The sequence below is a fragment of the Homo sapiens genome, chromosome 4 (assembly GCF_000001405.40).
Source record: "Homo sapiens chromosome 4, GRCh38.p14 Primary Assembly".
Lineage (NCBI taxonomy): Eukaryota > Metazoa > Chordata > Mammalia > Primates > Hominidae > Homo > Homo sapiens.
Window position 1 is genome coordinate 110,401,083 of NC_000004.12, and position 13,325 is coordinate 110,414,407.

The 13,325-nt window shown below is 42.3% G+C and overlaps 2 annotated features.

The window, feature by feature from the left end:
- Positions 9,511-10,425: an enhancer, noted in NCBI's record as "OCT4-NANOG-H3K27ac-H3K4me1 hESC enhancer chr4:111331749-111332663 (GRCh37/hg19 assembly coordinates)". NCBI's record gives its function as "activates a minimal SCP1, AML or CMV promoter by ChIP-STARR-seq in primed H9 embryonic stem cells {active_cell/tissue: H9 hESC(primed)}" and the evidence as "EXISTENCE:reporter gene assay evidence [ECO:0000049][PMID:30033119]".
- Positions 10,426-11,339: an enhancer, noted in NCBI's record as "OCT4-NANOG-H3K27ac-H3K4me1 hESC enhancer chr4:111332664-111333577 (GRCh37/hg19 assembly coordinates)". NCBI's record gives its function as "activates a minimal SCP1, AML or CMV promoter by ChIP-STARR-seq in naive and primed H9 embryonic stem cells {active_cell/tissue: H9 hESC(naive and primed)}" and the evidence as "EXISTENCE:reporter gene assay evidence [ECO:0000049][PMID:30033119]".

Below are 13,325 nucleotides of genomic sequence, written 5' to 3' on the forward strand. Positions count from 1 at the left end.
GAAGAGTCTCTTAAGATCTTAGTAGCAGGGATTCTGATTCGTTCAATTGAGGTGAATCCCACATATACACTTTTTTACAAAATACAATTTCAAGATGATTTGGTTGCAGAATAAATCTCACATGACACTTTGAAAAATGTTTCCTTAAAGCAGTGGTTGGGCTCTTCTATTTTTCTCCTTTGTCCAGGACCTATGGACTGTTCAGTTTGCACACATTTCCTTCCCTCCTTCCTTCCTTCCTTCCTTCCTTCCTTCCTTCCTTCCTTCCTTCCTTCTTTTCTTCCTTCCTTCCTTTCATTTCTTTCTTTCCTTCTTTCTTTCTTTTTTGATGGAGTCTCACTCTGTCGCCAGGCTGGAGTGTAGTGGCGTGATCTTGGTTCACTGCAACCTTCACCTCCCAGGTTTGAGCAATTCTCCTGCTTCGGCCTCCCAAGTAGCTGAGACTACAGGCGCGTGCCACTATGCCCAGCCAATTTTTTTGTATTTTTAGTGGAGACGGGGTTTCACCATGTTGGCCAGGATGGTCTTCATCTCTTGACCTCATGATCTGCCTGCCTCGGCCTCCCAAAGTGCTGGGATTACATGTGTGAGCCACCGCACCTGGCCTGCACACATTTTTGTAAATAAATGTGCTCACTCAGTCCAGGTGGATCACAGGTAAAGAAGGCCAGTTTTGTATCATGCTCTTCTCCTCCTGCTTGATGGAGTGGGAACAGAGGTGGGGTAGGGCACAACCAGGCTCCATGACCCACTGCTCTATGTTATCTAGCACAGAGCTGGGTCCCTTTATAGGATACTCTTTACTGTTCTTTGTTTTAAAAATTTACTGTTACACCAATGCATAATTTTAAAATTCTCACTTTTAGGAGAGTGATCAAAAGAAGCCAACTTGCTTTCCTACTTTCCTGGTCAATAGCAAGAATTCATGTACGATTTGAAGCTCCTGCAGCATATTAACCCAAACAAAGCATTGGTAAACCAGAGACGGTGCAACCGTCCAGGTATGATTCTAATTGTTCCAGGAAAAGGCCAGTTCTGTGTGATATGAGTGCTCAAAAAAAATTATTTTTTTGGTAAACCGGTATTGTCTATTCCTTACTTCAGATGGAAAAGTAACACTTATGTAAAGCAGCATTGTAAACAGAGATGTGCTTCCTTCCTTCCTTCCTTCCTTCCTTCCTTCCTTCCTTCCTTCCTTCCTTCCTCCCTTCCCTTCCCTTCCCTTCCCTTCCCTTCCCTTCCCTTCCCTTCCTTTCCTTTCCTTTCCTTTCCTTTCCTTTCCTTTCCTTTCCTTTCCTTTCCTTTCCTTTCCTTTCCCTTCTCTTCCCTTCCTTCCCTCCCTTCCTCCCTCCCTCCCTTCCTTCCTTCTTTCTTTCCTTCCTTTCTTCTTTCTACAGGGTCTCACTGTATCACCCAGGATGGAGTGCAGTGGTGTGATCATAGCCCACTGCAGCCTGGAACTCCGGGGCTCATGCAATCCTCCTGCCTCAGCCTCCCAAGGAGCTGGGACTACAAGTATGCACCACCATGTTTGGCTAATTTTTAAAAATTTTTATAGAGACAGTGTCTCACTCTGTTCCCCAGGCTGGTTTCAAACTCCTGACCTCAAGCAATCCTCCCACCTCATCTCCCAAAGCCAACATGCCCAGCCCTTTTCTTAAATATTCATATAGGAAACTTTGTTACCTTTATTGCCAACAAAGAAGAAGTATTGTCAGGATTAATATACCCATGGAAATCTAATTCTGACCTCTGCCAAGCACAGTAATAAGGGGGAAATGTATTTTGACTATTAAGTATAACTTTCTTTACAAAATCTCTGATTTTAAGTGATTGCCTGACATTCCATCTTGGCACCTTTAGCCAAATTACCAATTTTTCATTGTTTGTTCTGTTTTGTTTTTGAGACCGAGTCTCCCTCTGCTGCCAGGCTGGAGTGCAGTGGCACGATCTCGGCTCACTGCAACCTCCGACTCCCTGGTTCAAGTGATTCTCCTGCCTCAGCCTCCCGAGTAGCTGGGATTACAGGCATGCGCTATTATGCCCAGCTAGTTTTTGTATTTTTAGTAGAGACAGGGTTTCACCATGTTGGCCAAGCTGGTCTCGAACTCCTGACATCGTGATCCACCCGCCTTGGCCTCCCAAAGTGCTGGGATTACAGACATGAGCCACCGCGCCCGGCCTAATTTTTCATTGTTAATGAACCACTTTGACAGGGAAATTCGCAGATTTTCTTTCTAGGTAAGCTAGGAGGCTTTCACATAAATATTCACTTAATTCCATTGACAACCTGGAAAGAGGGCTTTGTTTCTCATTCTACAGGTAAAGATGCTAAGGCTCAGTGAGGCTAATAAAGTTTCTCAAAATCACAAACCAAGTCAGTGCAAGAGCAGACATCAGCCATGCCTTAACTGTATACTACTTTGCAGAGGGCATATCAGTTGAGATTCTTTTTGTTGCAGTTAACAAGAAGCAGCGGGAGTTTTGTAGTAACTGTCAGAGTGGATGGGAGATTAGACAACTGAAGAACCAAGACAAGTCTTAGAACAGCTTCCAGATATCTAGCCAGCAGGATCCTCTCTGGGCTTCTCTTTAGAATGAAAAGCTCAAAAATTGTCTTCCTTGTCTTAATTCAGCTTGCTGGCAATTCAAAGTACCAGGAGAGAAATTCCTATTGTCCCAAATGAAATCACACACTCCTTTGCTGGGGAAAGGCAGCAAAGGTCCTGATCACATTTAGTGCCACCAAGACTGCTTATCCCTGGGAGAAATAATTCCCCTACGTGAAATAAAGCTGCCCTCAGGAAGGGAAAATGGGTGCTGAGATATATCCTTCCTTCCAAAAAGTCCACTAAAGTCCACATGCACTGACGGAGGGAGTTAGTTACATACACAAAAAGGAAAAGTCCATATGCAGTTGTCCTTTAGGACATCAACCTATTGTAATACTAAGAATATTCCCTAATTTCTCTTAATAATCTATTATAGAGCTTTCATACCTGGATTCGCTCAGATCCTTCATGAATGTCTTCTTATATAATGGATCCAAGACCACCAACTCGGATAAAATTTTTGCTGGTAGTTTTTACATAACTACTTTAGGCAAAAAATAGTACAATCGACCCTTGAACAACGTGGGGATTAGGGATGCCAACCCCTGTGCCGTCAAAAGTCTGCGTATAAGTTTTGACTTCCCAAAAACCTAACTATTAGTAGCCTGCTGTTGACTGGAAACCTTATTGATAATATACATAGCCAATTAATACATATTTTATATGGTATATGTATTAAATACTGCATTCTTATAATAAAGTAAGTTAGAGAAAAGAAAATATTATTAAGAAAATCATAAGGAAGAGAAAATACACTTTCTATTCAGTAAGTGGAAGTGGATCATCACAAAGGTCTTCATCCTCATCGTGTTCGTGTTGAGTAGGCTGAGTAGGAGGAAGAGGAGGGGTTGCTCTTGCTGTCTTATGGGTGGCAGAGGTACCACATATAAGTGAACATGCACAGTTCAAACCCATGTTGTTTGAAGGTCACCTCTACTTTGATTTGATCTAAATGACCACCTTTGAGATTCCAAGAATGTCTATATTCAGAACATGATACACAAAGACTTTTACTCACAGACGTCGTGATTTATAAAATGTGATATGCCCTCTCCTGTTCTTGGAAGTTTTGTCACATTTCTGACTCTTTGTATGTATCCCTCAACTGCAACAGGATGAAGCAGTCTAGTCATAGCCCGAGCTAGGTAAGTCCCAACCACTCAGGTGGCAACAGACAGAGCTTGATGTCCAAAGAGTGTGACAAATGATCCTAGACTTCTAAATGAAATTTGTAGAGTGTCCTGATGGAAAAATCTAAGAATGAGAAATACCCTTCATTTCTAGTCTGGTTGAGAGTCAATATCACAAAAGTTTGTCAGTGGTAGTAGGGTTCAGACCACTGAGCTGGAGTTCGGGGGCAAAACTCCAAGTCACTCATTCATGCTCTAAATGCCCCATCAGTCTATGGAGAAGGCTGTCCCAGATAGGTGCCCTTTGTCAGTGGAACTTCTCCAGTCCACCTTGTACTTGGTTCACCAGTTACTTTAATTGTGGCTTTCCTAATTCATTGATCTCCTGCATTTGGACTTTGTACTGTGAAGGGAAAATAAATCTTGGGACCCCAAAATCACTAAGCCAAGGGAAAAGTCAAACTGGGAACTACATCAGGCAAACTTGTCTCCCATTTTAATTCCTAAATAAGATAGCTAAAAATATGAGTTACCTCCCTCACAATTTGCCGACAAGGAAATTCACTGTAGACCTCAAGATCTTTACCCTAAAACAGTTCTGTTGAATTTCACAACTTATCTTCACAGGTACAAATTGTCATCGCTCTGCTCACCTGAGGCAAATGCATATCTGACTGCTTCTTCTGCCCTATTTATGTAAAAATGCAGATTCACTGAGCCAGTGTATTCAGTGAATACACTGTGTATTGTGTATTCAGTGAAAGGCTGATCAAGGACTCAAAAGAACACAGCCTTTTGTTTCTTATCTACCTATGACCTGGAAGGCCCCCACCATTATCCACTTAGAATTGTCCCACCTTACCTGACTGAACCAATGTACACCTTATGCATATTGATTGATGTCTCACATCTCCCTAAAATGTATAAAAGCAAGCTGTATCACAACCACCTTGGGCACATGTCATCAGGACCTCTTGAGGCTGTGGAATGGGTGTGTCCTTAACTTTGGTAAAATAAACTTTCTTTTTTTTTTTTTTTATTATACTTTAAGTTTTAGGGTACATGTGCACATTGTGCAGGTTAGTTACATATGTATACATGTGCCATGCTGGTGCGCTGCACCCACTAACTCGTCATCTAGCATTAGGTATATCTCCCAATGCTATCCCTCCCCCCTCCCCCCACCCCACCACAGTCCCCAGAGTGTGATGTTCCCCTTCCTGTGTCCATGTGATCTCATTGTTCAATTCCCACCTATGAGTGAGAATATGCGGTGTTTGGTTTTTTGTTCTTGCGATAGTTTACTGAGAATGATGATTTCCAATTTCATCCATGTCCCTACAGAGGACATGAACTCATCCTTTTTTATGGCTGCATAGTATTCCATGGTGTATATGTGCCACATTTTCTTAATCCAGTCTATCATTGTTGGACATTTGGGTTGGTTCCAAGTCTTTGCTATTGTGAATAATGCTGCAATAAACATATGTGTGCATGTGTCTTTATAGCAGCATGATTTATAGTCCTTTGGGTATATACTCAGTAATGGGATGGCAGGGTCAAATGGTATTTCTAGTTCTAGATCCCTGAGGAATTGCCACACTGACTTCCACAATGGTTGAACTAGTTTACAGTCCCACCAACAGTGTAAAAGTGTTCCTATTTCTCCACATCCTCTCCAGCAACTGTTGTTTCCAGACTTTTTAATGATTGCCATTCTAACTGGTGTGAGAGGGTATCTCATTGTGGTTTTGATTTGGATTTCTCTGATGGCCAGTGATGATGAGCATTTTTTCATGTGTCTTTTGGCTGCATAAATGGCTTCTTTTGAGAAGTGTCTGTTCATGTCCTTCACCCACTTTTTGATGGGGTTGTTTGTTTTTTTCTTGTAAATTTGTTTGAGTTCATTGTAGATTCCGCACATTAGCCCTTTGTCAGATGAGTAGGTTGCGAAAATTTTCTCCCATTCTGTAGGTTGCCTGTTCACTCTGATGGTAGTTTCTTTTGCTGTGTGGAAGCTCTTTAGTTTAATTAGATCCCATTTGTCAATTTTGGCTTTTGTTGCCATTGCTTTTGGTGTTTTAGACATGAAGTCCTTGCCCATGCCTATGTCCTGAATGGTACTGCCTAGGTTTTCTTCTAGGGTTTTTATGGTTTTAGGTATAACGTTTAAGTCTTTAATCCATCTTGAATTGATTTTTGTATAAGGTGTAAGGAAGGGATCCAGTTTCAGCTTTCTACATATGGCTAGCCAGTTTTCCCAGCACCATTTATTAAATAGGGAATCCTTTCCCCATTGCTTGTTTTTGTCAGGTTTGTCAAAGATCAGATAGTTGTAGATATGCGGCGTTATTTCTGAGGGCTCTGTTCTGTTCCATTGATCTATATCTCTGTTTTGGTACCAGTACCATGCTGTTTTGGTTACTGTAGCCTTGTAGTATAGTTTGAAGTCAGGTAGTGTGATGCCTCCAGCTTTGTTCTTTTGGCTTAGGATTGACTTGGCGATGTGGGCTCTTTTTTGGTTCCATATGAACTTTAAAGTAGTTTTTTCCAATTCTGTGAAGAAAGTCATTGGTAGCTTGATGGGGATGGCATTGAATCTGTAAATTACCTTGGGCAGTATGGCCATTTTCACAATATTGATTCTTCCTACCCATGAGCATGGAATGTTCTTCCATTTGTTTGTATCCTCTTTTATTTCATTGAGCAGTGGTTTGTAGTTCTCCTTGAAGAGGTCCTTCACATCCCTTGTAAGTTGGATTCCTAGGTATTTTATTCTCTTTGAAGCAATTGTGAATGGGAGTTCACTCATGATTTGGCTCTCTGTTTGTCTGTTGTTGGTGTATAAGAATGCTTTTGATTTTTGTACATTGATTTTGTATCCTGAGACTTTGCTGAAGTTGCTTATCAGCTTAAGGAGATTTTGGGCTGAGACAATGGGGTTTTCTAGATATACAATCATGTCGTCTGCAAACAGGGACAATTTGACTTCCTCTTTTCCTAATTGAATACCCTTTATTTTCTTCTCCTGCCTGATTGCCCTGGCCAGAACATCCAACACTACGTTGAATAGGAGTGGTGAGAGAGGGCATCCCTGTCTTGTGCCAGTTTTCAAAGGGAATGCTTCCAGTTTTTGCCCATTCAGTATGATATTGGCCCTGGGTTTGTCATAGATAGCTCTTATTATTTTGAAATACGTCCCATCAATACCTAATTTATTGAGAGTTTTTAGCATGAAGGGTTGTTGAATTTTGTCAAAGGCCTTTTCTGCATCTATTGAGATAATCATGTGGTTTTTGTCTTTGGCTCTGTTTATATGCTGGATTACATTTATTGGTTTGCGTATGTTGAACCAGCCTTGCATCCCAGGGATGAAGCCCACTTGATCATGGTGGATAAGCTTTTTGATGTGCTGCTGGATTCGTTTTGCCAGTATTTTATTGAGGAATTTTGCATCAATGTTCATCAAGGATATTGGTCTAAAATTCTCTTTTTTGGTTGTGTCTCTGCCCGGCTTTGGTATCAGAATGATGCTGGCCTCATAAAATGAGTTAGGGAGGATTCCTTCTTTTTCTATTGATTGGAATAGTTTCAGAAGGAATGGTACCAGTTCCTCCTTGTACCTCTGGTGGAATTCGGCTGTGAATCCATCTGGTCCTGGACTCTTTTTGGTTGGTAAACTATTGATTATTGCCACAATTGCAGATCCTGTTATTGGTCTATTCAGAGATTCAACTTCTTCCGGGTGTAGTCTTGGGAGAGTGTATGTGTTGAGGAATTTATCCATTTCTTCTAGATTTTCTAGTTTATTTGCGTAGAGGTGTTTGTAGTATTCTCTGATGGTAGTTTGTATTTCTGTGGGATCGGTGGTGATATCCCCTTTATCATTTTTTATTGCGTCTATTTGATTCTTCTCTCTTTTTTTCTTTATTAGTCTTGCTAGCGGTCTATCAATTTTGTTGATCCTTTCAAAAAACCAGCTCCTGGATTCATTAATTTTTTGAAGGGTTTTTTGTGTCTCTATTTCCTTCAGTTCTGCTCTGATTTTAGTTATTTCTTGCCTTCTGCTAGCTTTTGAATGTGTTTGCTCTTGCTTTTCTAGTTCTTTTAATTGTGATGTTAGGGTGTCAATTTTCGATCTTTCCTGCTTTCTCTTGTGGGCATTTAGTGCTATAAATTTCCCTCTACACACTGCTTTGAATGCGTCCCAGAGATTCTGGTATGTTGTGTCTTTGTTCTCATTGGTTTCAAAGAACATCTTTATTTCTGCCTCCATTTCATTATGTACCCAGTAGTCATTCAGGAGCAGGTTGTTCAGTTTCCATGTAGTTGAGTGGTTTTGAGTGAGATTCTTAATCCTGAGTTCTAGTTTGATTGCACTGTGGTCTGAGAGATAGTTTGTTATAATTTGTTCTTTTACATTTGCTGAGGAGAGCTTTACTTCCAACTATGTGGTCAATTTTGGAATAGGTGTGGTGTGGTGCTGAAAAAAATGTATATTGTGTTGATTTGGGGTGGAGAGTTCTATAGATGTCTATTAGGTCCACTTGGTGCAGAGCTGAGTTCAATTCCTGGGTATCCTTGTTGACTTTCTGTCTCATTGATCTGTCTAATGTTGACAGTGGGGTGTTAAAGTCTCCCATTATTAATGTGTGGGAGTCTAAGTCTCTTTGTAGGTCACTCAGGACTTGCTTTATGAATCTGGGTGCTCCTGTATTGGGTGCATATATATTTAGGATAGTTAGCTCTTCTTGTTGAATTGATCCTTTTACCATTATGTAATGGCCTTCTTTGTCTCTTTTGATCTTTGTTGGTTTAAAGTCTGTTTTATCAGAGACTAGGATTGCAACCCCTGCCTTTTTTTGTTTTCTGGATATGAAATTCTGGGTTGAAAATTCTTTTCTTTAAGAATGTTGAATATTGGCCCCCACTCTCTTCTGGCTTGTAGGGTTTCTACCAAGAGATCCGCTGTTAGTCTGATGGGTTTCCCTTTGAGGGTAACCCGACCTTTCTCTCTGGCTGCCCTTAACATTTTTTCCTTCATTTCAACTTTGGGGAATCTGACAATTATGTGTCTTGGAGTTGCTCTTCTCGAGGAGTATTTTGTGGTGTTCTCTGTATTTCCTGAATCTGAACGTTGGCCTGCCTTGCTAGATTGGGGAAGTTCTCCTGGATAATATCCTGCAGAGTGTTTTCCAACTTGGTTCCATTCTCCCCATCACTTTCAGGTACACCAATCAGATGTAGATTTGGTCTTTTCACATAGTCCCATATTTCTTGGAGGCTTTGCTCATTTCTTTTTATTCTTTTTTCTCTAAACTTCCCTTCTCGCTTCATTTCATTCATTTCATCTTCCATCGGTAATACCCTTTCTTCCAGTTGATCGCATCAGCTCCTGAGGCTTCTGCATTCTTCACGTAGTTCTCGAGCCTTGGTTTTCAGCTCCATCAGCTCCTTTAAGCACTTCTCTGTATTGGTTATTCTAGTTATACATTCTTCTAAATTTTTTTCAAAGTTTTCAACTTCTTTGCCTTTGGTTTGAATGTCCTCCCGTAGCTCAGAGTAATTTGATCGTCTGAAGCCTTCTTCTCTCAGCTTGTCAAAGTCATTCTCCATCCAGCTTTGTTCCGTTGCTGGTGAGGAACTGCATTCCTTTGGAGGAGGAGAGGCGCTCTGCGTTTTAGAGTTTCCAGTTTTTCTGTTCTGTTTTTCCCCCATCTTTGTGGTTTTATCTACTTTTGGTCTTTGATGATGGTGATGTACAGATGGGTTTTTGGTGTGGATGTCCTTTCTGTTTGTTAGTTTTCCTTCTAACAGACAGGACCCTCAGCTGCAAGTCTGTTGGAATACCCTGCCGTGTGAGGTGTCAGTCTTCCCCTGCTGGGGGGTGCCTCCCAGTTAGGCTGCTCAGGTGTCAGGGGTCAGGGACCCACTTGAGGAGGCAGTCTGCCCGTTCTCAGATCTCCAGCTGCGTGCTGGGAGAACCACTGCTCTCTTCAAAGCTGTCAGACAGGGACATTTAAGTCTGCAGAGGTTACTGCTGTCTTTTTGTTTGTCTGTGCCCTGCCCCCAGAGGTGGAGCCTACAGAGGCAGGCAGGCCTCCTTGAGCTGTGGTGGGCTCCACCCAGTTCGAGCTGCCCGGCTGCTTTGTTTACCTAAGCAAGCCTGGGCAATGGCGGGCGCCCCTCCCCCAGCCTCGCTGCCGCCTTGCAGTTTGATCTCAGACATCTGTGCTAGCAATCAACGAGACTCCGTGGGCGTAGGACCCTCCGAGCCAGGTGTGGGATATAATCTCGTGGTGCGCCGTTTTTTAAGCCAGTCGGAAAAGCGCAGTATTCGGGTGGGAGTGACCCGATTTTCCAGGTGAATCCGTCACCCCTTTCTTTGACTCGGAAAGGGAACTCCCTGACCCCTTGCGCTTCCCAAGTGAGGCAATGCCTCGCCCTGCTTCGGCTCGCGCACGGTGCGCGCACCCACTGACCTGCGCCCACTGTCTGGCACTCCCTAGTGAGATGAACCCGGTACCTCAGATGGAAATGCAGAAATCACCCGTCTTCTGCGTCGCTCACGCTGGGAGCTGTAGACCAGAGCTGTTCCTATTCGGCCATCTTGGCTCCTCCACAGAGCGGTAAAATAAACTTTCTAAATTTACTGAGCCCTGTCTCAGATATTTTGGGTTCACAGTACCTTAGCCCCCTTTGCCTTTGTAACAAGCCTGGCTTGCTTTCTAACAAGCTCCTGGCTTTTGACCTTGGTTGTATGTCTGCTCTCCATCCTCTGTGTCCAGTTCACTGTGGCACTAGACAGGGCACTAAGGGCGCTCTGTTCTGGAGCCTGGCTGGACTCTCCTTCAACTAGGGGAAAATTGGACAAGGAGGAGCTAGGCCATCTGTAGGGATGCTGTATCCCTCCTGTTGACCCTCAGGTTTAGTCCTGGGACAAGCTGTGAGGAAGGGTGGAAAGCAGAGGCTGCAAATTGGCCAAAGCTTAACATTCGCCTGTGAATATCCCCCGCTGGGTTAGCCTTTCAGCCTGGTTGATATTCTATCTGCTCTTCTTAACTTTACGAGCTCCTGAGGAGAGGTAATTGTAAGTTTACGAGCTCCTGAGGAGAGGTAATTGTAAGTCTACATAGGAATTAAGGTGCAGATAAATCATGTTTGTGACCTGGCTAAAAGTTTTGCTCTGAATTTTCCTCACATATATAATAGGCTTATTTAGCCTCAGTAATACAGTGGGATATTTGGGGAGGGAGAATAAATTAGATATAGTACTTCTTAATTCCTATTTTAAGAGTCTCTATTCTTAAAAGATTATCTTGTTTAAACATTCAGATTATATTCCTCTAAAGATATTTTTTAGTCTCTTTTTGGCCTTTCAAAAACTTCTGACAGTAATTTCTACGCACTTGGAAATTAACTCTCACAGGGGGTTGCAAAATGGTGCCCCAGGCTTTTACTGGCCCATCAGGCATGATGTGTTTTGCCATTTACTATGTTTGTATTTCAACAATTGCATTTAAAAAATATTTCCAAGTGGTTCTTCATAATTGCTTGTTCACGCGTCATGTTCCTGACATTATTCCTTATTTTTATAAAGACATTTATTGTGTTTATTTTGAATTCCCATTCTGTCTGTTCTACTGGTTCTGCTTTCTCTTTAGTAGGGTGTTCTGTTTATCATCTGTCTGTTGCAGGCTGTTGTTCTTCAGATGTCACATAATATCCTCCCCTCCCAGCTGTAAATTTATCTTTATTGCTTTGAGACAACAATAGTTCTATGGCAATACTTAGCTGTGGGTTTTTTTTTTTCTTTGAATGTAAAACACTTAGAATAGTGACTGGTGAAGAAAGCACTCAATACTTGCTAGCTAGGGTGTATTTTCTATGGCTACATAACAAATTACCCCAGACAGCGGCTTAAAACTACACGTGTTTATTATGTCATAGTTCTACAGGTTAGAAATCTGCAGGTTCATCTGGGGTCCCTAGCTCAGGGAGTCCGTGTCAGGCTGGCCTCCTACATCTGGAGGCTCTGGGAAAGAATCCACTTCCAGGCTCATTCAGGTTGTTGGCAGAATTGCTTCTTGCAGTTGTTAGATGGATTTAGTCTTTTCTTGTCTTCAGTTGGATCACTGTTACCTTTTAGAAGCTTCCCTCTGTTACTTGCCATGGGGCCCCTCCATTTCAGAGCCCCTGTACTGCCTCATCAACTCCTTCTCATGGTTGGAATAGCTCTGACTTTCTCTTTGGCTACTCTTTTAAATAAGTTTAAATGGCACATGTGATTAGATTGTGCCCACCTGGGAAAACCTCCCTTTTGCTTAATTCAAAGTCAGCTGTCTACTGCAATAATTTGCTAGTGTGCCATCACAAAACACTGGAAACTGGGTGGTTTAAACAACAGAAATGTATTGTCTCAACAGTTCTGGAGGCTGAAAGTCTGAAATGGAGGCATCTGGTGGGTTGGAAACTTCTGAGGACTGTGAGGGAGAATTCATTCCATGCCTCTCTCCTAGATTCTCCCAGCCTTATGCATTCGTTGGCTTGTAGACGGCCTTCTCCCTACTAGTAAGGGGAAGACATTACTAGTATCTGTCTGTATACAAATTCCTTGGCTTGTAGATGGCCTTCTCCCTTACTAGTATCTGTCTGTATACAAATTTCTCCACCTTTTAAAAATCTAGACATAAGTCATAATGGTTTAGGGCCCACCCTAATGACCTACCTCATTTTAACTTGAACATCTGTAAAGCCCCTATTTTTCTTTCTTTCTTTTTTCTTTTTTTTTTTTGAGACAGAGTCTCGCTCTGTCACCCAAGCTGGGGCACAATGGTGCCATTACGGCTCACTGCAGAGGTTCCAGGGTTCAAACGATTCTCCTGCCTCAGCCTCCCGAGTAGCAGGGATTACAGATGCATGCCACCACACCCAGCTAATTTTTGTATTTTTAGTAGAGATGGGGTTTTACCATGTTGGTCAGGCTGGTCTTGAACTCCTGACCTCAAGTGATCCACCCGCCTAGGCCTTCCAAAGTGCTGGGATTATAGGCATGAGCCATCGTGCCTGGTCCATCTTTCTAAATAAGGTCATGTTCTCAGGGACTGGGAGTTAGGAGTTCAGCATCCTTTAAAACCCATAAGAATTAGTAACCTGAATTAATCTGCAAAATAAATGAGGGAACAGAGGCCAAAGAGGGTAAACCACTATCAGATGGACTAGAACCCAGGCACGAGGACTCATTACTTCAGCCTTTCATCCTCTGTGTGTGTTCACAGTCCCCATTTAAATATGTATGTTGTATCAAGGACTACAATAGTAATTTGGAGTTTGGGAAAATTGCATATCCTGCGCTGATGGACTGGAAGATGAGATGTGCTTTAGGCAGAGCCTGTTTATCAATAGGTGAGTGGCTATGAAATGGGGGTAGGAACCCATAGGGAAGAAACTAGATGATCTGCTGAAAATGAGAAGAAAAATGAGCTGCTGGACCTGCCAGCTGGCACCACTGCTCAAGTGGATTATGAACTGAATATAGAAAATATGAGGGAACAAAGAGCTGTATGAGTGTTCACAGCTGTTC